At 37.4% G+C, this 25,636-nt stretch overlaps 1 long non-coding RNA gene across 3 annotated transcripts in view; it reads left to right on the plus strand.

Annotated features, from left to right (window-relative positions):
- Window positions 1-16,012: 16,012 nt before the first annotated feature.
- The window catches only part of LOC105374647 (uncharacterized), a 36,488-nt gene continuing 26,864 nt past the window's right edge, over window positions 16,013-25,636 (plus strand). The window contains exons 1-3 of one of the 3 annotated variants that reach the window (NR_188264.1): window positions 16,013-16,162; window positions 19,295-19,496; window positions 24,464-24,748. This is a non-coding gene — a long non-coding RNA (uncharacterized LOC105374647). The remainder of the gene's footprint in view (window positions 16,163-19,294; window positions 19,497-24,463; window positions 24,749-25,636) is intronic. The other 2 variants (NR_188263.1, NR_188265.1) reach the window with 2 other exon arrangements.

The raw sequence follows: 25,636 nt of genomic DNA on the forward strand, positions 1-25,636 counted from the left end.
ATGAAATTAGAGAGAGACATGAATAGATGTAAAGCCAACCACGTTAGAAAAAGTTAAAAAGGAATGAAAAATGCTAAATTTCTGCCTTTGACATCAATAGATAATAACACTTTATTTATCAAAGGACTAATTTAAAAACATGTCTATATTATACATAGACCAGTTCTGGAATAAAGACAAGTAATAAGAGGAGAAGAAGGGAAGAGAAAAAAGGAAGATAATGAAAATGATGAGGATCGAGCATGGATGGAAAGAACAGAAAGGACAGCAAAGCAAAACAAAAGAAAACAAAAAAAAGAAGGAACCGTGTAAAAAGAAGCTGAAGAAAGAAAAGGGGCTCAACTATTAAAAAGAGAATATTTTTTCTCTTTAGTCAATTTAGGGTGGAAGTTAGATGAAATGTATAAGAATTATATTTTCTATTTTTGTATATGCAAAAACCAGCCATCATATTTTGACCTGGCTGCATGGCATAGAAGGCAATGGAGATAAATATGTGAGGAGCATGTGTTTCAGTAAGATTTCCTTCATGATTTTGATATTAGATTGGCATGACATTGAGTTTTAAGGTCTCTTGGAAGATTTTTTTTCTCTTTAATGAGGTTTAAAAATGACAACTCAGGGAGGTATTTATGTTTTTAAATATTAAGATAAATGAATAATATAAATTGGTATTGCGTGTGTATTTTCTCTTACCTACTGGAGGAGAGTGAAAAGTAAACGAAAATCATAGATTGATTAAAAATTTGTGAATATCTACATTACAGTTGTGTCCAAAAGTTCGGACATTGCAGTTTAAATAGCATTTTCTTGTGGCCAGATTGCCATTGTGATAGTTGGTGTTATTGTCATTTATTTATTTATTTTAATTTTTAGTTGTTATTTTTATTTTATTTTACTTTAAGTTTTGGGATACATGTATAGAACATGTAGGTTTTTACATAGGTTTACATGCGCCATGGTGGTGTGCTGCACCTATCAACCCATCATCTAGGTTTTAAGCCCCACATGCATTAGCTATTTGTCCTAATGCTCTCTCTCCTGTTGCTCCCTACCCGCCGACAGGCCCAGGTATGTGATGTTCCCCACCCTGTGTCCCTGTGTTCTCATTATTCAACTCCCACTTATGAGTGAGAACATGTGGTGTTTGGTTTTCTGTTCCTGTGTTAGTTTGCTGAGAATGATGGCTTCCAGCTTCATCTAGGTCCCTGCAAATAATATGATCGCTTTCCTTTTTATGGCTGCATAGTATTCCATGGTGTATATGTGCCACATTTTCTTTATCCAGTCTATTAGTGATTGGCGTTTGGGTTGGTTCCACGTCTTTGCTATTGTCAATAGTTCTGCAATAAACATATGTGTGCATGTGTCTTTAGAGTAGAATGATTAATATTCCTTACGGTATATACCCAGTAATGCGATTGCTGGGTCAAATGGTATTTCTGGTTCTAGATCCTTGAGGAATTGCCACACTGTCTTCCACAATGGTTGAACTAATTTGCATTACTACTAACAGTGTAAAAGCATTCCTATTTCTCCATAGCCTTGTCAGCATATCTTGTTTCTTGACTTTTTAACAATGGCCATTCTGACTGGCGTGAGATAGTATCTCATTGTGGTTTTGATTTGCATTTCTCTAATGATCAGTGATGTTGAGCTTTTTTTAACATGTTTGTTGGCCATGTGACGGTCTTCTTTTGACGAGTGTCTGTTCATATCCTTTGCCCACTTTTTGATGGGATTGTTAGATATTTCTTGTAAATTAATTTAATTTCCTTGTAGATTCTGGATATTAGACCTTTGTCAGATGGGTAGATTGCAAAATTTTTCTCCTATTCTGTAGGTTGACTGTTCACTCTGATGAGAGTTTCTTTTGCTGTGCAGTAGCTCTTTAGTTTAACTAGATCCCATTTGTCAATTTTGGCTTTTGTTATAATTGCTTTTGGCATTTTTATCATGAAGTCTTTGCCCATGCCTATGTCCTGAATGATATTGGTTAGGTTTTCTTCTGGGGTTTTTATTGTTTTATGTCTTACATTTAAGTCTTTAATCCATCTTGAGTTAATTTTTGTGTAAGGTGTAAGGAAGGGGTCCAGTTTCAGTTTTCTGCATATGGCCAGCCAGTTTTCCCAGCATCATTTATTAAATAGGGAATCCTTTCCCCATTCCTTGTTTTTGTCTGATTTGCTGAAGATCAGATGGTTGTAGATGTGTGGTGTTATTTCTGAGGTCTCTGTTATGTTGCATTGGTCTGTATATCCCTTTTGGTACCAGCACCATGCTGTTTTGGTTATTGTAGCCCTCTAGTATAATTTGAAGTCAGGTAGCATGATGCCACCAGCTTTATTCTTTTTGCTTAGGATTGTCTTGGCTATACGGGCTCTTTTTTGGTTCCATATGAAATTTAAAGTAGTTTTTTCTAATTCTCTGAAGAATGTCAATGGTAGTTTGATGGGAATAGTATTGAATATATAAATTGCTTTGGGCAGTATGGCCATTTTCATGATATTGATTCTTCCTATCCATGAGGGTGGAATGTTTTTCCATTTATTTGTGTACTCCCTTATTTCCTTGAGCAGTGGTTTGTAGTTCTCCTTGAAGACGTCTTTCATGTCCCTTGTAAGTTGTATTGCTATGTATTTTGTTCCCTTTGTAGCAATTGTGAATGGGAGTTCATTCATGATTTGGCTCTCTGCTTGTCTCTTGTTGGCATATAGGAATGCTTGTGAGTTTTTCACACTGATTTTGTATCCTGAGACTTTGCTGAAGTTGCTTATCAGCTTAAGAAGCTTTTGGCCTGAGATGATGGGTTTTCTAAATATAGAATCATGTCGTCTGCAAACAGAGACAATTTGACTTCCTCGCTTCCTATCTGAATACGCTTTATTTCTTTCTGTTGCCTGATTACCCTGGCCAGAACTTCCAATACTAGTTGAATAGGAGTGGTGAGAGAGGCCATCTTTGTCTTGTGCCGGTTTTCAAAGGGAAAGCTTCCAGCTTTTGCTTATTCAGTATGGTATTGGCTGTGGGTTTGTCATAAACAGCTCTTATTATTTTGAGATATGTTCTGTAACTAACTAGTTTATTGAGAATTTTTTAACATGAAGCGATGTTGAATTTTACTGAAGGCCTTTTCTGCATATTGTCATTTATTTTTACTGCTAATTGGCTTCACACTTGTCATGTAACCTTGGTCCTCTGAACAATTTTCTTTCCAGAATATGAAAGTTATATCAATTTTCTTAAATATGGGAACCAAATGAGGTAACATGAAAAGTGTCTTGAAAATTATTAAGTTAAAAACAAAACATTTATAATATCTGATTATATTTATAAATGAGCATAACACATCAACTTTCTTGTTTTATCCTTTATTTTTCACATCTATCTCAGTGGTAAACTGGCTCCAGACTAGTAATTTTTTTATAGGCTGCATTAGTCAGCTCTCACATTGCTATAAAGAACTACCTGAGATCTGGCACTCTATTAAGAAAAGAGGTTTAATTGACTCATAATTCTGCAGGCTGTACAGGAAGCATGGCTTAGGAGGCCTCAGGAAACTTACAGTCATGGCAAAAGATGAAGAGGAAGGAGGCATGTCTTACATGGCCACAGCAGGAGGAAGAGAGTGAAGGGGGAATTGCCACACAGTTTTAAACAACCAGATCTCATGAGAACTCACTTTCATGAGAACAGCAAGAGGGAACTCCATCCCCATGATCCAATCATCTCCTACCACACCCATCCTCTAACACTGGGGATTACAGTTTGAAATGAGATTTGAGTGGGGACACAAATGCAAACCATATTGTAGGTTATCTCTTCCTCTAGAATACACAGAAAAGAACTGGAGTCTAGAATCATAGGTCCTTAAGAACAGGGACTCTTGTTCATTCTTATATTTCAAGAACTTTAAATAAAGATTAGCTTTATTTAAATAAATTAGTTTCAAGTTAATGAATTTTGTCTGTGTGTATTTAATATGACACCTCCCAAAAATAACATCATAATTCAGCATACGAGAGAAACCAATGCTTTCAAGCAGTTGTCATTAAAATACACAAGGCTTATAAGGCAGGTCTTCTGGAAAACTCTGTATGAAATTAATTTGTGTTAATAAATTAGTTTTATCTAGGATTCTGTTCTTACATTATGTGCATTTTTCTTCCAGAATACAGCACTACTAATTATACCTCCTTTTTATATACTTGAAAAAAACTTTTTATTTTATTTTATTTTAAAGTTCTGGGTTACATATCCAGAGTGTGCAGGTTTGTTGCATAGGTATTATACATGTGTCATGGTGGTTTGCTGCACCTATCAACTGGTCATCTAGTTTTTAAGCCCTACATGCACTAGGTATTTGTCCTAATGCTCTCACTCCCCTTGCCCAACACCCTGACAGGCCCCATTGTGTGATGTTCCCCTCCCTGTGTCCATGTGTTCTCATTGTTCAACTCCCACTTATGAGTGAGAAAATGTGGTGTTTGCTTTTCTGTTCCCATGATAGTTTGCTGAGAATGATGGCTTCCTGTTTCATCCATGTACCTGCAAAGGACATGAACCCATTCTTTTTTATGACTGCATAGTATTCCATTGTGTATATGTGCCACATTTTCTTTATCCAGTCTATCATTGATGGGCATTTGGGTTGGTTCCAAGTCTTTGTTCTTGTAAATAGTTCTGCAATAAACATACGTGTGCCTTTATCTTTATCTTGTAAAACAAAAATAACCCTTGTATGCAACGATCTAGATTTGGTCTTTAGAAATGTGGCCACATTTTTATTTCATCAGACAGAAATAATTGAAATACAATGGAACAAAATAACTTCAACCACATAAAGTTCATAAAATTAAATGGGCTCATCCTGTTCACATTCAGAGGAGAATCACTTGTGGGAATGGAAAAAGCAAAAAAGACAGAATGAAATTCAGTTCAATATCCACTGTAAGCTGGCACGTCCAACTTTAATACTAATAACTAAATGTGTAACCCACTGAAGTATGTTTATACTTTTAGCAAAAATATTGCCATTTCTTTTAAGGAATGGCACATCCAATAGCAAAAGCACTGAAAATTTTCTCCTTATGGCCAGGAGAGTTTATAGACAGGAGAGGCAGTCTTCCTAGTCTGGTGTTCAGGTGAAGGTGCTCACACTGCAGCCTGGAGCTGAGAGATCATTGTGATCAGCTGTGATGATGATGAGCAGTTGTTATTGGTGGTGGTTGTGGTGCAGTGGTGGTGGTTGTTATTGTTGTTGTTGGTAGGGTGATTGTGGGCTGTTACTTTTCATGGTGTTGATGGTGTTAAGGAGTATGATGGTGATGGTGGTGGTAGTTGTGGTGAAGGTGGTGGTGGTGTTAGCTCAGCCTTATTCCTGGCATTTCCTGTCTATGTCTACTAGATTGTTATAGTTGGAAGGAACTGGATATCCCTTGGATTATCTAAGCTAAGGAAAGGGCTAGGAGATATGACGAGTGGCGCTAGTATTGTTGGTAGGTATTCAAAAAATGGGAGGAATCAAGAAACTTTGACTTCATGCCTAGACATCTTGGGAACCCACACAAAGTTGTACAAGCATTTTCTCTGAAACACAGGCCAGTTGTTCAGACAGGCCATGGAAAACTAAAGAATGTGGTTAAGTATGTCAGAATCACCAAAATATCTTCCCAAATTTTACCAGGAACTCCCCATTCCACCTAGAATGAAATACACGTGCCTCTGCATGCTCTCCTCGGTCCCACATGGTCTGTGGTCATTCCATCATCTCTCAGGCTCATCTCAGTCCACTGGCTCTTTTCTCATTCTGCTGTAGCCATGTGGACTTTCTCAGTATCAACCTCACTAAAGCCAAGCAAGGGTCTTGCAGTGGTGGAAGGCTATTCCCCAAGTTGCCACTCTCCAGTCTCATGCTAAGGTCCTTATTTCACAGATCTCCTCCTCAGTGAGTCCTCTAATCACCACTCTTGTTAAAGTCTCCTTCCTCAGGCACTCACCTCTATACATCTTATGTTCAGCACTGTTCTCATCTAAAATTATCAATGAGTTTTCTTTGTAATTAACCAGAGCCAGTACAGTCTGCAAATGCAGGTATTTCACAACCTGAATGAAAAAAAATTGAAAAAAAAAGGCAAGCCCTACTAATGAAAGAATGTGACTGTAGCCAGCTCTTAAACAATTGGCTATAGCATGACTGTGAAAAAAAATGGACATTTAGCTAACAGAGTAAGTAAAACTTGGTATGTGCATAGCAGCTGCTTTTTGTGAAAGTTGTGTGGCTAGACCAAAAAAGTGCAACGTGTAAAGTAAAAGATGTGACTAGATATAATAATTATGCAGTGATTAAGAGAGAAAAACCATAACAACTATTGCATCCAGTGAAATCTAGATTTAATTTAAAAAACTGCAAATGCATAGTAATATATTTTATAGTTATACATTTATAGCTACTAAAAGCATTATCAAGTGATTTCCCACAGAAAACAACTTTGTTTCTATGAGTCTGAAATGCTGTCTGAACTCCCTTTTCCTCCATTAAAAAATGAATCTTATAATTTTACTTTTATAATTTTATTTTGCTATAATTTCACATTTACAGAAAAATTTCAAGATTAGTACAAAGAACTTCTGTATACCCTTTACCCAAGATCAGAAATTGTTTATTTTGCCCCATTTACTTTTTCTTTCTCCCTCTCATATGAATATACACATATGTTTATATGTATTATTTTGGAACCATTTTAAATCAATTTCGAGACATAGTGCCCCATTACCTCTAAATACTTCATTGTGTATTGTCTAACATAACCACAATGATCAAAATCAGAAAATTTTGTTTTGATAAAATATTGTATGATTTATAACTCATTGAAATTTTTCAAGTGTCTTAGTAGTAGCATTTATATATATATTTTTTCCCTAATCTATGATGCAATTCGAATTGGGTTAATTGCTGCTAACATCATTCAATATAGAAATGCCTTGGCCTTTCTTTGACTTTCTTAACCTTGTTATTTTTCAATAGTGCAGGCCAGTTATTTTTTTGAATATTTCTTAAATTCAGTAGGTCTGATTTTTACTTATGATTAGTTTCAGCACTGTTGACATACACCACTATAAAAATCAAGTCTAGCAAATAGAGTACAATATTTATTTACAATATATTTAGGTAAAATTGATATATAATGAAGTGAAGAAATTCTTAGCATGCAATGTGATGAGTTTTGACAAATGCATGCACTGTGCTGCTATCAAGATATACAACATCTCCATCTCCAAAAAAAGATCTCTTGAGCTATTTCCTAGTGAATTCCTCTGCTCCCGATGCAATCTAAGTACTGATCCTTTTTTCTGCCATAGATTAATTTTGCCTGTTCAAAAATTTCCCATGAATGCTACTACGTCGTATGCACACTTTTGTATCGAAACTCTTTTGCTCAGCATGTCTGTGAGATTCATACATGTTGTTTTGTGTATCAATAATGTGTTCCTTCCTATTTGATGAGCAGGTGCCTATATGTGAATGTACAACAATGCATTTCTCCACTATTTTTATGATGGATATTTGGGTTGTGTGCTAGTTTTGTATTGGTTGAAGTTCCTCCAAAGTAACAGAACCAGTAGGAGATGTATGAAGGGATTTGTTACAGAAAAGTGGCTTACAAAATTGTGGGGGCTGGTTCCGTAGCTGTAGAGCTGTTATCTCTTTGCTTTGCGGCGCTGTGGTGAATTCCCCGCAGACCAAACCTCCCATTCTCCTTAGCACTGTCAGCTGAAAACCGCCTATTAAAGCCTCAGTAATGGCGGATGCCTCTCCCCACACCAAGCTCAATCTTTCCAGGTGGACTCCAGACTGCTAGGCTGGCAGTGAGGATTTCAAGCCAGTAGTTCTTAGCTTGCCGGGCTCCCTGGGAGTGGGACTCACTGAGCGAGATCACTTGGCTCCCTGGCTTCAGCCCCCTTTCCAGGGGAATGGATGGTTATCCTCTCTCTCTGGGGTTCTACGTGCCACTGGGGTATGAACAAACTAGCTTGGTGCCTGCCCAAACAGCCGCCCAGTTCCGTGCTTGAAACCCGGGGCCCTGGTGGTGTAGGCTCATGAGGGAATCTCCTGATCTGTGGATTGCAAAAAACCATGGCAAAAGTGTAGTACCGGGGGCGGGTAGCACAGTCCCTCATCACTTCCCTTGGCTGGAGGAGGGAGGTCTTATGGGTCCTTGCACTTCCCAGGTGAAGGGACGCTCCACCCTGCTTCTGCTTGCTCTGCATGGATTGCACCCACTGCCTTACCGGTCCCAGAGATCTGAACTTGGTACCTCAGTTGGAAATGCAGAAATCAGCTGCCTTCTGCGTTGGTCTCACTGAGAGCTGCAGACCAGAGCTGTTTCTGTTAATCCCTCATGGCCCCTCCCCAGTGACTCACACTTTCACATGGCTGGGAGGCCTCAGGAAACTTACAATTATGGCAGGAGGTAAAGGGGAAGCACTCACGTCTTACAGGGTGGCAGAAGAGAGTGAGAGTGAGGAAGTGCCACACTTTACAACCATCAGATCGCGTGATAACTCACTCACTATCACGAGAACAGCATGGGGGAGACTGCCCCCATGATCCAATTGCCTCCCACCAGGTCCCTCCCTCAACAGGTGGGGATTAAAATTTAAGATGAGATTTGGGTCGGGACACACAGGCAAACTATGCCAATTATGTATACATTTTTGTCTTAAGAGGCACTGCTAAACTATATTCCAGGAAGCTTGCATACATGCTCACTTTTACAAGGTCTGCTTGAAAATGAGAATTACCCAATATTCTTCCCTGTTACCCACTGAATATGATCAACCTTTTAATTTTCCACTATAACAGGCAAAAATAGATAGCTTTTTAAGTTGCATTTTAGGATTATTATTGAGGTACATATTCTTTGATTACCTTAAAAAATAGGCTGCTTGATTTTTTTCTGATTGAATTTTGATATGGATTATTTAATTTTCTTATTAGTATATAATTTTTCATAGATAAATATTATACATGACAAATTATAAATATTTTAATATTTTTTACTTTCTGTACCTTAGTCTTGTTTCTTGTTTATATTGTGTGTGTGTGTGTGTGTGTGTGTGTTTAAGCTTTTGAATGCTGCACAATAAATCTGTTGTTTTTCCCCTTCATTCCTTCTGAAATGAAGGGGAAATCTATTCTATTTTGAAAAATACTTCCTAATCCAAAGTGAAAATATTCTTCTCTAATTTACTCTAGAAAATGTACTTTTTCTTCTTCTTCTTTTTTTTTTTGTTTTTTTGTTTTTGTTTTTTGTTTTTTTTTTTGAGATCGAGTCTTTCTCTTTCGCCCAGGCTGGAGTGTGGTGGTGAGATCTCAGCTCACTGCAACCTCCACCTCCCGGGTTCAAGTGATTCTCCTGCCTCAGCCTCCCAAGAAGCTGAGACTACAGGCACACACCACCACGTCCAGCTAATTTTTGTACAGAAAATTTTCTTCTTAGCACTTAAATCTTTATTGCATATGGGGTTTTTTTGGTGTAAACACTTAGTTTCTTTCAAATGAGTAGCTGATTATTCTAGAACCAATTTTTCAATATGTAATAATTTACCCATTGATTCTGAAATGCTGCACTTATTATAGACACTTGAATCATTTTGTACGTGGATTATTTTTCCTGTGCCCAGGAATCTGGAATGCGGAGATCTCCAACTCATATTTGGAATAAAAATCATTGGTTATTTTAATTAACAGATTAATGTAGATCTAATTTAGGCTTAATTTCTTCAGTTTAACACATTAGTCATTTAGGTGATGACATTTTGTGAAAACTTGGGCATTCATAGAGGAAGAGCTGATGTCTGTGTGACACTGTGGGACCCTTGGGGCATTTTTTATGAACTCTGAAATATGATAGTTTTTTTGTATATATCTGTGCCTGTTTTGTTGCAAAATATTTGTTTCTAAGAATTTTATAGTTTTATTGTTATTGTGATTTGGAAATGCTTGTACATACTGTAGATAAAGAAATCTATATCTATTTCTAAATGGTTGTACATACTGTATATAAAGAAGAGTTATTGCTTTATCTGTATTTTTCTTGTATTCAATCACCTTATTAAAGGTGATATTATTATTATATTTTTCTATTTATTTCCCTTATATTTACTTAAATATGATAGTTTTCCCCTTTTAAGCATTCATAGCTTTATAAATACTTTTTTTTTTTTTTTTTTTTTTTTTTTTTTGAGACAGAGTCTCGCTCCGTCGCCCAGGCTGGAGTGCAGTGGCGCCATCTCGGCTCACTGCAAGCTCCGCCTCCCAGGTGCACGCCATTCTCCTGCCTCAGCCTCCCAAGTAGCTGGGACTACAGGCGCCCGCCACCATGCCCGGCTAATTTTTTTTTGTATTTTTAGTAGAGACGGGGTTTCACCGTGTTAGCCAGGATGGTCTCGATCTCCTGACCTCATGATCCGCCCGCCTGGGCCTCCCAAAGTGCTGGGATTACAGGCGTGAGCCACAGCGCCCGGCCTATAAATACTTTTTAAAAGTTTTATTAAATTGACAGAATTCTTAAACAATACCATCCAATCCTCCTGCCATTCCATTCTAATTCTCTTCCTCTGGATCATGCTGCCTTCTGCAAGGGAGTGGAATACTGGCCTCATATTTTTCTTATTACTACAATCCATGTGGATTTGTTGCATGTAGAAATTATTTTATAGATATAATAAATTTTATTGTTTGAGCAATGTTTTTCTGTTTATCTAGAGAAAGAATAGTAACTTTTGTTTACTTCAAATCCAATCAAACTGAGAAAGAGACAAAAAGAGAGGAGAAAGAAAGATTGATTTACTCGAACTCAGCATTAGAAACATCTTGCTCACCTCAGACCTACAGAATCAAATTCTCAGGGCTGGAGGCCCAGCATCTGCAGTTGTAACCAGGTTTCCAGGTAATTCTGGCACACAGTGAAGCCGAAAACTCCTTCTGTAAATCCATGGGCACAACCGCAATTTTTAAAAGTTATATAATGATGTCAGGTTTTCAGTAAATATAAGAAGCAAGTGCGTTACCCATGATACTGTAGGGAGTTGTATGTGAAACTTGTAAAATTGTAAGATTCACTTACAAAAATGGACTCTAACAACTTCAAGAGACTATGATCTGATAGTAGTGTGGAAAGGAAAATAAGATGAGGAAAGCCGAAAAAGAGAGCAAAGGCAAAAGCAGGAGTGAGGAGAGTCAGGGTGAACGAAAAGACTGGTTAGAAAGAGAGAAGACATATGTTTGTAACACAGCTAACCTGTGTAAATGGAATGCTGATCTTCTCTCAGATTACCTCGTGTGAGCCACCTCAGTAGGGGACAGACCGCAGGCTTACTTGCATCTTCTTCTGTTTTCAAGCTCACAAAGCTTCTCTATCATAAGTTTCTCCACATTTTAAAATATTTTATTATAATCCAATAATCATTGGCCTGATATAAACAGGAATGAGCATGTATTCTCCAGCATTAATTTGTAGTTTATGCAGAAGTGCCTAATATATACAGTAGGGTCCCCCTTGTCCACAATTTCACTTTCTGAAGTTTCTGTTACCTGTGGTATGATATGATATTTTGAGAGAGAGATCATATTCAAATAACTTTTATTACAGAATATTGTTGTAATTGTTCTTTTTATTTTGGTTATTGTTGATAATCTCTCACTGTGCCTAATTTATACATTAAACTTTATCACAGGTATGTTTATATAGGAAAAAAATGTAGTATATTTAGGTTTCAGTACTATTCGTGGTGTCAGGCTTTCACTGGGGAACTACTGTACATTAATAGGGTGCTATTATCTCCTTGAGCACAGAGAGCCGGCTCCTTAGACAGCTGAGATCAATTGAAAAGCATTTGCTTCTGCAGCTGACTTCACGTAAGTTCCAAACTATGCCCTGAGACCCTGACAAAGAATCCTTTCTGTCTGTTGAAAGGGCCTGGTGAGCTGGATAGAGTGACTCAGAGCAAATCAAATTGGAAAAATAGCAAAAAAAACAAAACAAAAAAAAAAACAAAAAAACAAAACACCCACACACACACAAACAAACAAAAAACTAGAGACAGACAGAATAATCATCAAGTTGACCAATAAAAAGAAAGCGAAATGCTGTACTGATGAACACTGCAGAAAGAGATTTGAGGGAAGCCAGGCTGTTCCCTTAATAAAACAGCAATAACATATGAGACAGTTGCAAAAAAATTGCTTTTAATTTAATCTACTGATTTTTTTTATTTTTCAGTAATAGTAATAGAATAAGAATCATACAACCTCTAATGGTGATTTAGCAGTTTTATGGAAAGCTAAAGATAAAACAATTCTAAAATAGAAATGAAGAGGGGGCCACTAAATTCAGTCTTCTTCCCAACTGAGATCCAGGGTAAGGAGGAAGTGGATTAGCAAGCAAATGACAACCTCATCATTAGAGCTCTAACTAGAGTTTCATAGTCTCTGCAAGCCTGTAACTAAGCCCTGGAACAGATGAAAAAATTCTGAAGAGAGAAGCATGATACAGTTCATTATTTAATGAAGAGAAGATTCTCTTTCTCCGTGTCTTTAGGAAAAAAATGACATATAATTCAATGTCCTCCATTCCCTAAATCAGAGTTTCTAGTGTGTGGTCCCTAGATCAACATCAGCATCACTTGGTATTTTTGAAATGTAAATCTCAGCTCTTCCCCAGGCCTATTGAATCAGAAACTCAGGGAAGTTTCAGCAATCTGTGCTAATAAGCCTTCCAGGTATTTCTGATGCTCGGGAAAGTTTGAGACCCATTTCCTTAAAGCGTGCGTATTTTCCATTTTAAAGCCTTTATCAAGAATGTGTGCGGTGGAAATTATCGTAGAAGTGGACTGGATGCATTCACGCTTCCATAGGCTTTCTGTTTCTTGGCTTATTTGGAACTATAAAGCTAAGGGTAGACGGACACATTCCTAATACAAGAATGTTGGTATTTGCACAATGAGGTCCCGGGAGACTTTTTAACACATTAAAAAAACTGGTATGAGAAGTAAGAGGGAGTTACAGCATTAACTATTGTCCTGTTTTCCAGGATGAAGAAGATCTTCCAGGACTTTTCTCAGGGGATCATCCTCTACATTGAGAAGTAGCACAAGGAGGAGATAATTTTAATCCGACTAATAGCAAAGTGACATGAACTCAAAGAGGGCTGTAGCCTACTGGTTGACCTCGTGATTGGAAATTAGCTCATGAATTAATTTTTGCCATAGTGACATTGGATATATTCATTTGCGCCTTTCTTACTTATAACTTCTAATTTTTTTCTTAATTTCCTGACTATTAAAAGTTTGGTATTTCTGAGAATTTCCTTCTCTTTCCTCCAGCTCCCCAATGATATCCAATAAATATTCCAGTTCATATAAAAAAAGAGTAATTTTTGCACTTAGTGAGTGCAATTTAACTTAACATCCTTTTTAAACTGAGATAGATTCCATATACCGTCAAATTATTCTCCTAAAGTCTATTGGTCAGTGGATTTTACTACATTTACAAAGCTGTACAACCATCACCACTAATTCTAGACCCAGCAAATGCAGTAGTTTCCCTGCTTCATGCCTGTGAAATGTGTTGCTTTTCCTTAGTGTCCTCATGAGGGAGCCTCAGAGAGTGGAGAAAGTCCAGGTTCATCACGATAGCACCTCGGCTGTGAACTCACATGAACAGGTGAGTAAATTGGAAAAGCACAACATACTGGCTAGATGACAGCTTGAGTTATATTTTCTTCTTAATTCCTGGGGTAGCTGAGCATAGAAATTTCAGTTTAGTTACATAAACTGTAGCATGATTTTTTACTCCTCTTTTAATATCAATTATCAAATATTTAGAAAAATGGAAGAAATAATCTACGCTTCACAGAAACTAGGATAAAAATTAAAAGGCCCTTATTCCCCTCTTTTTCCAGATGTTAGCTATCATAACCCATAAGGAAATATTAAAAGGCTATGACCTAGGCTGACTAAATTTATAGAAGCAATAAAAAGAAGCCCAACATATGCATAAATACCAGCTTTGGTGGGTGGGAGTAAGATAGTGGGGGATAAGAGAGCCCTAGAATAGCAGATACTAAAATAACCATGGACTGTCAAGCAAAAGGGCCACCAAGAAGCAAGGGTGCCTTGGGAAGGGAAGTGTCCTGGGGTACAAGAGTAGGGTCTGCAGGATAAGGAAGGGAGCGCAGCTATCTCTCCCCTCTTCCTGCTGCCTGATTACCCCGCATCCCTCTAGAAATTGGTGCTGTGGATCCAGGCTTCCATCTGTTTGCATTCAGATCTGTGATCTTGCCAAGTCTAATCTGACCAAATTATTGACAGCTTTGCATCGTACACAAGTGACTGGGGACCTCTCCTCTGAATCCAGAGATGAAGTGAGCCACTTGGAAGAATCCTGCAGATAGTAAAACTTCTGAGCATTTATTTCCCCAATCCTCTTGGAGGCTATTCAGCCAGATACTGTGCAATACATCCACCTGGGAGGCTGCAGCAGAGGAGAGATCCACATTGATAAAACACACAGAAAGGGGATTTTGATCTCAATATAAGGGAACTTGGAGAGTTGTAAACCATGGCAGACTGTACTGTTTAGCTTCTGAGGCATAAGAGCCATTACTTCAAGTTGCTTGTTCAATACGCTGAGCTACAGGGTCACGCCAGACTTCAGGAAGAGCCAGAACACTCAGAACCTAGACTTACTCTAAAACTAGGAACTCTAGCTGCTGCTGTGTGAGAGCTGCTTGAGAACTGTGTGTCATGTTCTGGGCTTTTCTCTTGCAGGGATTGCAAGGCCAGGACCCTGAAATTTGCCCAACTCGGAGACCCTGAGGATGCCCCAGGGACCTGGGTCCTTCTTCCTCAAAACAGAAGGGAGTTTCAAATGAGATTGGACCATGACAACAGTGACTATCATTATCTAGATGACAGTAGGTTTAAGGAAAATATTCATTTACTGGTTTTCAAACTTCATGAAAGAGAAAGCATGAATTGCAGACTCAGTGTTTAAAAATCAAATGCATTATTCAGAATCAAATATAAAAGCCAGATGCCACAAATTACTCCCAAATTCACATTTTTTTGAGATATGATTGATTAAAGTTCTATTTGAGGATGCATTTTCCTAAGTGACTTTTGGTTTAGGAGTCTTCTTCAGATAATCTTTTCCTAAGAACTAAATGAAAGAAATTTATTTGTTATCCAAGAATTGTCATTACTGTTTCTTCATTTCAGCACTCATTTATTTATTCACAGGTCGCATGCTGTCTGACCTGTCCTGGTTGGTGGGAGGGATGGAGCCTGGCTTCCTGTGTAGGGTGCCCAAGGACTGGCTGTGGAGGCTGCTGGGCCTAAATGCTTTCCCCCTACTTTTTTCCATGGACTGACTTCTGTATCCCAAATGATTGACATATTTATTATTGACCTTCTCTGACAAAAGACAAAGAATTACGGATCTACATTTTTCTCTCAATCTCAGGAGCCAATATATTCAGTGTAAAAGCTCAATTTTCATTTGAAAGAAAAAACACTTGGCTCAAGAAAATTTTTTTCCATGTAAGTCTAAATTATAAAAATTTGACTTATTAAAAACAAGATGTTGTGTTATTTTATATATATATATATATATATATATATATATTTGTCCTTAGTTCCTAGCTCATAACTCCCCTAGCTCTTGTTAAAATCTTTTGTTATTATATTGGGTGTGCTAGTTCGCAGGAACAGACCTCAGGAAACTGAATCTCTCTACTGCCTTCTTTCTCCTACCCTAAAGCAGGACTTTAATCTTCTCTCACCTTTCTGATTATGGATCTTAAGAAATTTCCCTGAGAGGGCTCCGCCCTGTACCCTATACTTGGGGAAGGAATGCTGATGTCACAAAGCTTCCATAAAAATCCAAAAGGACTGGGTTCAGAGGGCTTTTGGAGAGCTGGACATGTGGAGGCCGACAGGAAGGTGAAGAAGTCATCTGCGTGCTGTGAGGGTGGCGCACCCCAACTCCATGGGGACAGAAGGTCCTGCATTTAGGACCCTTCCAGACCTCACACCTATGTATCTCTTCATCTGGCTGATTACTTATATCCTTTCAAAGACGCTTCTTAGTAAACTGGTAAATGTTAAGTGTTTCTCTGAGTTCTGTGAGCCACTCTAGCAAATTAATCAAACCCAAAGAGGGTGTCTTGGTGACCTCAACTTGAAGCCAGTTGGTCACAAGATTTGGAGGCCCAAACTTACAACTAGGAGGAAGAAAGGAACAATCTTGGGGACTGAACCTTCAACTTGCGGGATGGGACACTCTCTCTAGGTGGACAGTGTTGGAATTGAATTGGGGGACACCCAGCCACTTGGCAGTGGGGGAGAATCTGCACACATTTGGTCACAGAAGTCTCATGGGGTCATTGTTGCGTGGTGAGAGTGGAGGAGAAACACAGTTTGAGAGTTGTTTTTCTGATACGAAATGAAAATATAATTTAAATACATCTGGAAAATAGATATGTCTTTATTAACACCATTCTCAATTTGTCAAATTTCCGATGAAAGAAAGGTCTATTTTGTGAATTTAAGGATTTAAGCACAGGCAATAACAGATTTAAATACAAAAGTATAGAGGTGTCATTATTATACATTTTCTTCCTAAGTGAGTATGATGAACTTTATCGGTTGAAAGATTGCTGCTGAGAGTCAGTGGCACTGAGTCATATTTTAACCTTTTCAATATGACAGAATAAACCATTAGCTGCAATCTTATTCATATTGTTTCTGTGGTTGTCAGAGTCTGCCACAAAGTCCCAGCACTCCCTTCGTCATTCCAAAGCATCACAATTAGTCTTAATTTCTACTCCCACTTCATCTGAGATAGGACTCTTTTGTCTGTGCTAACACTGACAGGTTTTCAAACTGTCTTTTTAAACATTAGACTTTGTATTTGTAAGGCCCCTTTCCACTGCTAGAGCCACTGGAATTGCACTTTGAAGTTTGCATATAATCCTTTATTAGTCTTAATATGTGAGGATCCTAACTATACACTAAGGCATAAAGAATTCCCTCCATTCAGACAATGCCCCCAATCCTATGAAGCAGGGAGTGAACCTGGACATGAAGCAGGGAGAAGGAAGTAGCTGGATGGTCAGATGGAGCCATTCCTCCATGATGTGTTCAAAATGATTTCTTATACCTCCAGTGAATTTATAGGAGTCCTTGCTGATTGAAGTCACAAACTTTGTCAATGATATAAAAAAGAAATTTTGGAAAAACAGGCTGAATGTCAGATATAGACACAATACCACCATTGATTACGATGTTAAATTATATGGGGGTTGTCACACATGTCAAGGGACCACTGGTCTTCGTCCACTGTTAAAAGTCACCCTAATGGATAGTCTTTTTGGCATGCAAAGTGGTTCAGGCTGTTTGTACTGGCTATTTGTCTTAGAACTAAGTAGACTTTCCACAAGGCTGGTCTAAGAGTTAGGGTGTATAGTATGAACAGTGTAGGAAAATTTATTGGATACTATTTTGCACTGTTTTGCTCCATACTGAATTTGTTATGTCAGAGGCTTTCACTCTGATTTTTTTCCTGAGTTTTAAAATCCAAAAAATGTGAGAAAAGAACAAAATCTTTTGGTAGTCTACAACTGCTAACAAATTAATCTCGGAAATCCCTTTGAATACCAACATAAATGTGACCTACATCAATGTATATGGACTCAGGGTCTATTCAGCTCAGGGATATACCTCTGTTGGATACTGAATGGATATTGCATCTCTGTGAAACCTGCTCTGGCATCATGGCGTCTTAACATTAATCACGAAAAAAGTTATTTTGATTTCCTGCTGAGCTTTGGTTAATTTTACTGACAAGAGATGCATTACAAAAGAAAGGAGCTCTTTGAAAAACTGAAAATTTAATAGGAAATTTTATTAAATACATCATTTTGATTTGCAACCTTATTATAAATTTCGAAAAGTTCATATTCTACATTTGAATTGTCCATATGTTTCCTTAATAAGCTGCAATAAAAATAGAATATAAAAAGTATGCAGCTTCTTATCACTTTCATCTTTAATTTAATTAAATTTCTCTGGCTTGGTAAATCATACAAACCCATTAATATTGATCCTAGCATGTGTGGTTTTTTCCTAGCTATTTGTTGAATTCTATTATTTTTAAAATATGCTTTCTTATTCATTATCAAAAACTACTTACATGTCTCTTTTCATTCTAGTTTACTCATATTGTTTTATAACAAGAAAAGAGATAAAATTTGTTGATATTAGAGGGAAGTTTTGTTTAGGTTAAACGGGGGGTAATTTTAATTGAAGATAAAATATATAACCACTCTAGATATGGAGTTCTGAACTCCTCTGATTAGTAGTTGGGACTGAGGTGGAGTTGAGGTAGGGACTGTAATTCCACAGTTCTTTGATAGAACTTGACCTGCAGTGGGTGAGAAAAAGGAAATGCGGTCTTCTTGCAGTTCAGGAAGCCTGACTCCTGTTCATGCACATAACTCCATCTAGAACAGAAGCAGGGTTATTTTTTTATTTTGGATTCAGGTTTCTCAGTGTATTTTCTGAATAAGGAATGCAATTAATTAGTTCTAATTTTCAGAATTTTTCTCTTTGCTTCAAAAAATATTTGTGCATGTGTGTGTATGTGTGTGTATATATATATATATATATATATATATATATAAACACAATTCATTGGGTTTAGGGAATTTATTTTCTTGTATACTTCTATATAATATAAATTGGTCTTACTTTATATTTGGAAACTGCATACATTGAGGTAGTTGCTTGTCACAAAAACTGTTCTTGCTTTCTTTAACCTGAACTGGAAATTCAAAAGCTTATTAAAATACTAAGGCAACTAGTGTTCTCAAAGTAAATTTTCCCTACTCAGATTTTAGTCAAACAACAACATGCCCATAATGAGTTAAATCTGTGCTTTAAGAAAAAGAAAAGCAATCGTGCTGAGGAATCCTAGTTGGCCCAGGAGGTTAGAAAATGGAGGTTGATTCTCCCTCTACAAGTCATCAATTTGATTCGGTCCAGGTTGGCAGTTTTTCAGAACATCTGTCGTCTGATTGCTCTTTAGTGGTCAGTAAACAAGAAAATCCAGATGTTCTTAGTTTAGTAGAGATCCATCATCTAAAATGCCCCAAGGTCCTGTACACTTCTATGTGCCTAAAGGTTACACTGAAAAGGACGAGGGATCTCTGAGAATCCTTTCTCCCAGGCATTACTTCTAAGTGGTGGACATGCTGTCCTAGTGCCTCCCTCACATGGCCAGCGGAGAAGGGCCTTGCCCTACCTCTCAGACTGCAGCCCTGAGCCACTCCTTGGAGGTGAGGAGCACCATTCACCTGAGCAGCTCCCCGCCCTGGTGTCTGAGAAATAAATCTGCCTTCAGTCATACGGTTCTACCAATCTGAGCACACGTAAGTATTTTTCTGTGTTGTCTTCTTAAAAGCAAATGCTTTCTCCTTAGAGTATTTTTTTTAATTTAATGTAATCTCATCCAGAGGAGGAGATTGTTTTGTGATCACCCTGTGTAAGCCATATCAGCCTCTCTCCCCAAAATGTGGTTCAGATATCAAGACTGAAAATGCTACACATGCAATAAGAGAGAATGCAAAGATTTATTACAATATTAGTGCTTTCTGGGGAGAGCATCATTTTGTAAAGGGATGGCTTAGCCATGGTCGCCCATGCCAACATCCACAATACATAGTTACAAACGTGTAAGTGTGATAAATCATGTTCACTTGGGGCTTGGCTTGTAGACATATTGATTTTTATAGGAATATTTATATACAAATTTTTCAAAATTTAAATCTGTAAAAGCCAATTATTCTTATCACTGCAGTGCAGGTGTATGTGGCTGGGTGATATTCTGGAAAAGGGTCTGGGAAAGGATGGTCATGTTGGATGACCGGGACAATTAACCAAGTATAGGAGGGGATAATGAATACTGATATTATTTTGCTATTAGTATTTTGGCTACACATACTATGCATCTATTTATCAGAGTAACAGGGAGCTTATTGGAGGCATTGACGAACACTGTGGGCATTTTTCCATATGCAGTTCATGTTAGAGTTTGGGTGAAGTCCCTGGTTAAAGAAAAGAGGTACCTGGGAAGTTCTGTCTGTAAGTTAAGAGTTGCAGCAGTAAGTGGAAAATAAATGTTCACGTGGGTCACGGCTGTACCCTGTAGCCATGAGGTTGGAGGCGAAAGGTCCAGCTCAGGCCATTGTAGCTAAAGAGGTATGCTCTAAATTTGCCCAAGAACTCAGACTTTCTCACAGACAGAACTGAAAGTACACCATAGAGTTGATAGATCTTTGAGGGTAAGGTGTGTGTCCAAATTGCCAAGCTCGGATAGGAAAGAGACCTCCTGTGTTCTAGAGACAGCCCTAGATCCTCCCCAGCCATGGTGTTCAGATGGGCAGACACAGGCTGCTCAGCGGTGTCCAGAGATGGCTTCAAACTTGCTGTCATTTATCTATGCTCTGATCAAGGGCACGGGTTATAAAATTGTTGTAAAACCAGTCCAGTTGGGAAAGACATAGAATGCACCCTTCTCCCCATCTCAATGTTCCCCTGCCTGCCAGTGCCCACGACTCTCGTAGAGCTGCTTTACCCCTTTTCTTCCTGCGCTTTATACCCTTTATGGCATGCCACCAGGCATATCTATGTGTGTGTGCATGTGTAAGTGTGCACCTGCAGGCTGGATCATTCTCATAATTTATTTTTAATTACTAAAATTTGTGCATACAATCATTACATATATTTTTATTTTTACTTGTATTAATTTAAAATATATTCTAATATCTAAAGTTCATTTTAAATTTTGTTTTATATGTGTTTATTAAAATTCATTTTAAATATTAAAATTTGCTTTTAATATTTAAAATTATTATATTGCCCAACCTTTAAAGAGTTCAGTAATTCACCACAACATATACTTCATTTCTTCTCCCTAAAGGAAAATATATTCAACTTTTTTTGTTGATTATTTTGGGGTTTATTTCCACATCATTAATAATTATGTTTATATTGTTGCTTCTTAATTTTTCAGTTTTAGCTGTAATCTGTTTACTCCCTACAATTAAAGGTGGGAATTTACCTCTCTCGTATGAATCTTTCTTCCCTGACCTCTTCTTTTTTCCAATTCTCCTTTGTTTAATCTTCCAAATATACTTGCATCATAATTCTGTTTAGATCAATATTTAATATTTACATTATTACTATATACATGTTCTTCATATGTGTTTGCATAGTTTATTATAATGAGTTTATCTTTCTTACTGGTATTCCTGTCACTGTTTCAGCGCCAGCCTCTCCTTCCACTATGTAACTTATGTCTCAGGATGCTCCATCACACCCTCACTCTCACCGCCTGGTGTGAATTCCTCCTAGCCTTCTGGCTGCTCTGAGCTGCCTGAAAGGATTTCTCTCTCGGCCCGCTGGCCGCCCCTCAACCTCGGACCCCAGCTTCACTATCGTTTGGGAAATCCTTTTATCTCTTTTTAATGGTGGATGTCAAATTTCCTGAATTTCCTTATCTTTTATTTCTTTCTTTCCTGTATTATTCCTTGGATTTTGTTGGTCATGTTTTTTAGTAGCTTCCTGAGATAGGGTGCACAGGTTGTAAAATTTTTGAGAACATATATGTTTGAAATGCCTTTTTTCTACCCTTGCGTTTTATTTGTAGTTTGACTTGCTTCAGAATTCTAAGGTGGAAATCATTTTTTTCTTTTTTTTTTTTGAGACAGGGTTTCCCTCCGCTGCCAGACTAAAGTTCAGTGCTGTGATCACAGCTCACTGCAGCCTCGAACTGCTGGGCTCAAGTGATGCTCCCACCTCAGGCTCCCAAGTAGCTTGGACTACACATATGAATCACCATGCTCTACAGTTTTTGTAGAGATGGGGCTCTCACTATGTTGCCTCGGCTGGTCTTGAACTCCTGGCCTCAAGTAATCCTTCCACCTTGGCTGTCCACAGTCCTGAGCCACCGCACTTGGCCTCAATCCTTTACATAAAACCTGTTTTCCTCTTAGGAAGCTTGCTGCATTTTCTGTTTGTTATATTCAGTGTTCCGAAAATGTATGATGCCATCCCTCGGTATGGCTCTATGTTTCATCCATTATGCTCAGCAATCAGTGATGCCTTTAAATCTGGAAACCCACGTTTCCCAAGTCCAACCTTATTTTTTTTAAGTGTTTTACTGACAATTTTCTCCTCTTGTTTTCTTTGTTCTTTCAGTCATCTTTAATTGAGAATCTGTAATCTTTGTATTATAATAAAATGTTTAGACTTTTTTTGTTAATACCTTTAGAACTGGTTAATTTATTTTAACTACAGTATGGTATTATAATATATGAACAGATCTTAATTGAATAATACATTAATAGACATTTAGATTGCTTCCCTTTTGCGATTTATAAATAATATTTTAATGAATGTCTTTGTGAGTGTATTTGTGTGCCTGTGTACAGAATTTATGTTCTATAGAGAATGGCTAGAGGAAAATGTACATTTAAACTTTACCAGACATTTTTACATGTTAAGTGGTAGTACCATTTACATTCCTACTTATGATCACTGAAAAACATTTCTCTGCATCCTCATCAATGCTTGATACAATTATACCTTTAAAATGTTGCCAACATGATGGATAAGGAATTGTTACTCAATTGAATTTGCAACTATAAAAGTTGGAGATACTTGCATATATATTAATTCAACATGAAAGTTTCCTCTTCTATGAATAGCTGATTCATATCATTTGTCCATAAATTCTAAACTAAATTGAATTTCTAGGTATGACAAAAAGCATACCTCAAAATATAAAAACAATGCAAAATCTGAATTACATAGAAAATACTTGATTTTTGCTTAATAGGATTCCATAACAAATAGGAAAATATCTAAATTTGAAGGAAACATCTAAATGAAATTTATTCATAATTTTTATATTACTTTGTTATTTCAAATAAGGAGACCATTCCTTTTTAAAAATTAAAATAGCAAATGAGCTATGAACACTGATTTGCTCTTTATATATTAATCTTGTTGGCTGTTTTCATCATTTATGGACCATCGCTAATGTGCCTTATATGTAAGCTGCTTCATTTTTTGAAGTTACCAACAAAAATATATATTAAATGTTTTTCTATGTCCAAAATAGAAGACAAATTAACCATAATCCTGAAAATAGATATAATCAATATTAATATTTTATATATATTTCTCTCCTCTTCTTATGCCTATATAAAAGTTATATATTTTAAATGTGAATATTTTGTGCAATTCACATTTTTTTCAGTCAATATCACATGAGGAACATTTCCTTCTACATTAGCAAACATTATTTTGCAACAGTATTTTAAATGGCTGCATAGCATTCTGTTATATGGATATACAACAATTTATTAAAGCAGTTTCTCACTTTTCTATTGAAAAATTTAGCGTGGTAATGTTAAAAGTTCCTGATGAATGCCTAATGTAGAGTATATTTTTACTCCTACTTTTTCCCATAACATTATCTGAATATCATTTTTATTTCCCATTCTAAAATTATTACAGTAATTCTATGCTTCATTTGTTAAAGACAGCATACACGTGCACACACACACAGGCACTTTCCATGTCTTTTGGCAGAGAGATTGATATCCTGGTAAATGGAATCAAGTTTGGTACCATAAGAAATTAGTGACTTTGCGTGCTTTGTTAGACCAATCTGTGATCCATCAGGAAAGTGTTAACCTAGCTTAGTTCCCTTGCATGGTTATTTTTAAATAAATTGATATTGATATTGATGTCCAGTTGCATGAGGTGGTGTCTTAATAAGTAATTCATTGAACTTATCAGCACATCACAGGAATTTCAGATTAACACTCCTGATTTACATGATTAAAAGTGCCACCATTAGCAGAGCAAGGAAATGAAGCACTTGCTTCCTAAGGAGCTGTTGAGATGATCATTGAAATATCTGAGTACCGTATTTCACTGAGTCACAAATACGTATTTTCATCCAATTTTAACATGAAAAATGTGAACGACCTTACAGTCAACTGTGTCTTAAAATACAGCTGGTGGCAGTTTTACTTTCTTAGTGGTATGCACTTTATAGCACAGCTTGTATTTGGTGGCTTCCATTCTTGGACCCACAATCTACCAATGATGTGATAGATACCTTGGGCATGGCTCCCATCATCCCCACATTCTCGTGGTTAAACACTGAGCAGTCCACTCCCCTTGAGCATGGGCTGGAGCCAGTACGCAGAGCACCGCAAAAGGGATGGGATGCCATTCTGAAATTAGGTTATAAAAGACTGTGAGCCCTGTCTAGCTAGCAACCACTGTATGACCCTTCTTTCCTGCTTGTTCTGATGCGCAGGACCACCTGATAGGGTACTGAGGATGGCTTCTGACCTGGAGGCATCAAGGACCTGAAGGCAGTAACCATTTCAGAGGACAGCCACATCCCTCAAATTACAAACATCTAAAATGTCCATTAACTGTTGAGTGGATATATAAATTCTGATGTTTTATAAAATGGCATACCCTACATCAATGAAGATGAATGAATTACTTCTGCATAAAACAATATACATGCATCTAACCAATATGACACTGAGTGAAAAAAGACATCCATAGAAGAGCACAGCTCACCATTCAGGAGGTGAGTAGGCTGAAAGAATCCATGGTGTTAGAAGCTGAGACATTAACTCAAGGATGAGAAAAGTAATAATAGAAATTGGGAACTGGTGATGAGGGTTTTTTGGTTAGATAAAATTCTGGTAATATTCTATTACTTTTCATCTGAGTGATGGTTATCAAATTGTGTTTATTTTTTGATAATTTAGAAAGTGGCACACTTATGATCTGTGTAAATTGTCTATGCAATTTTTATGTCATGACTTTTTTGTCACTGTGGCCGGGTGAGAGCTGGAGTGTCATACACCAATTTTTTTTTTATTCTCATTTTTCTTTAAGTTCTGGGATACATGTGCTGAACGTGCAGGTTTGTCACATAGGTATACATGTACCATGGTGGTTTGCTGCACCTATCAACCTGTCTTCTAGGTTTTAAGCCCCACATGCATTAGCTATTTGTCCAAATGCTTTCCCTCCCCTTGCTCCCCACCTCCCAACAGGCCCCGGTGTATGATGTTCCCCTCCCTGTGTCCATGTGTTCTCATTGTTCAACTCCCACTTATGAGTGAGAACATGAGGTATTTGGTTTTCTGTTCCTGTGTTAGTTTGCTGAGGATGATGGTTTCCAGATTAATCCATGTCCCTGCAAAGGACATGAACTCATTCTTTTTTATGGCTGCATAGTATACTATGGTGTATATGTCATGAACCAATTCTTAAATATTTTGAAGCCTTCTGGCCAGACAGTGCTAATCTTAAGTCTCTGGCTAACTGCATGAGGGCTAAGGATTGTGGACATGAGTGTGACCAAAATGGAGAACCAGAAATAAGCAAAGTGTGGGAATATCTATTATATTAAGCTATTTCCTAAGGTCACATAGCTGTTAAGTGGAAGACTCAGAACTGTAGCCTG

Source organism: Homo sapiens, chromosome 5, assembly GCF_000001405.40.
Source record: "Homo sapiens chromosome 5, GRCh38.p14 Primary Assembly".
Taxonomy (NCBI): Eukaryota; Metazoa; Chordata; class Mammalia; order Primates; family Hominidae; genus Homo; species Homo sapiens.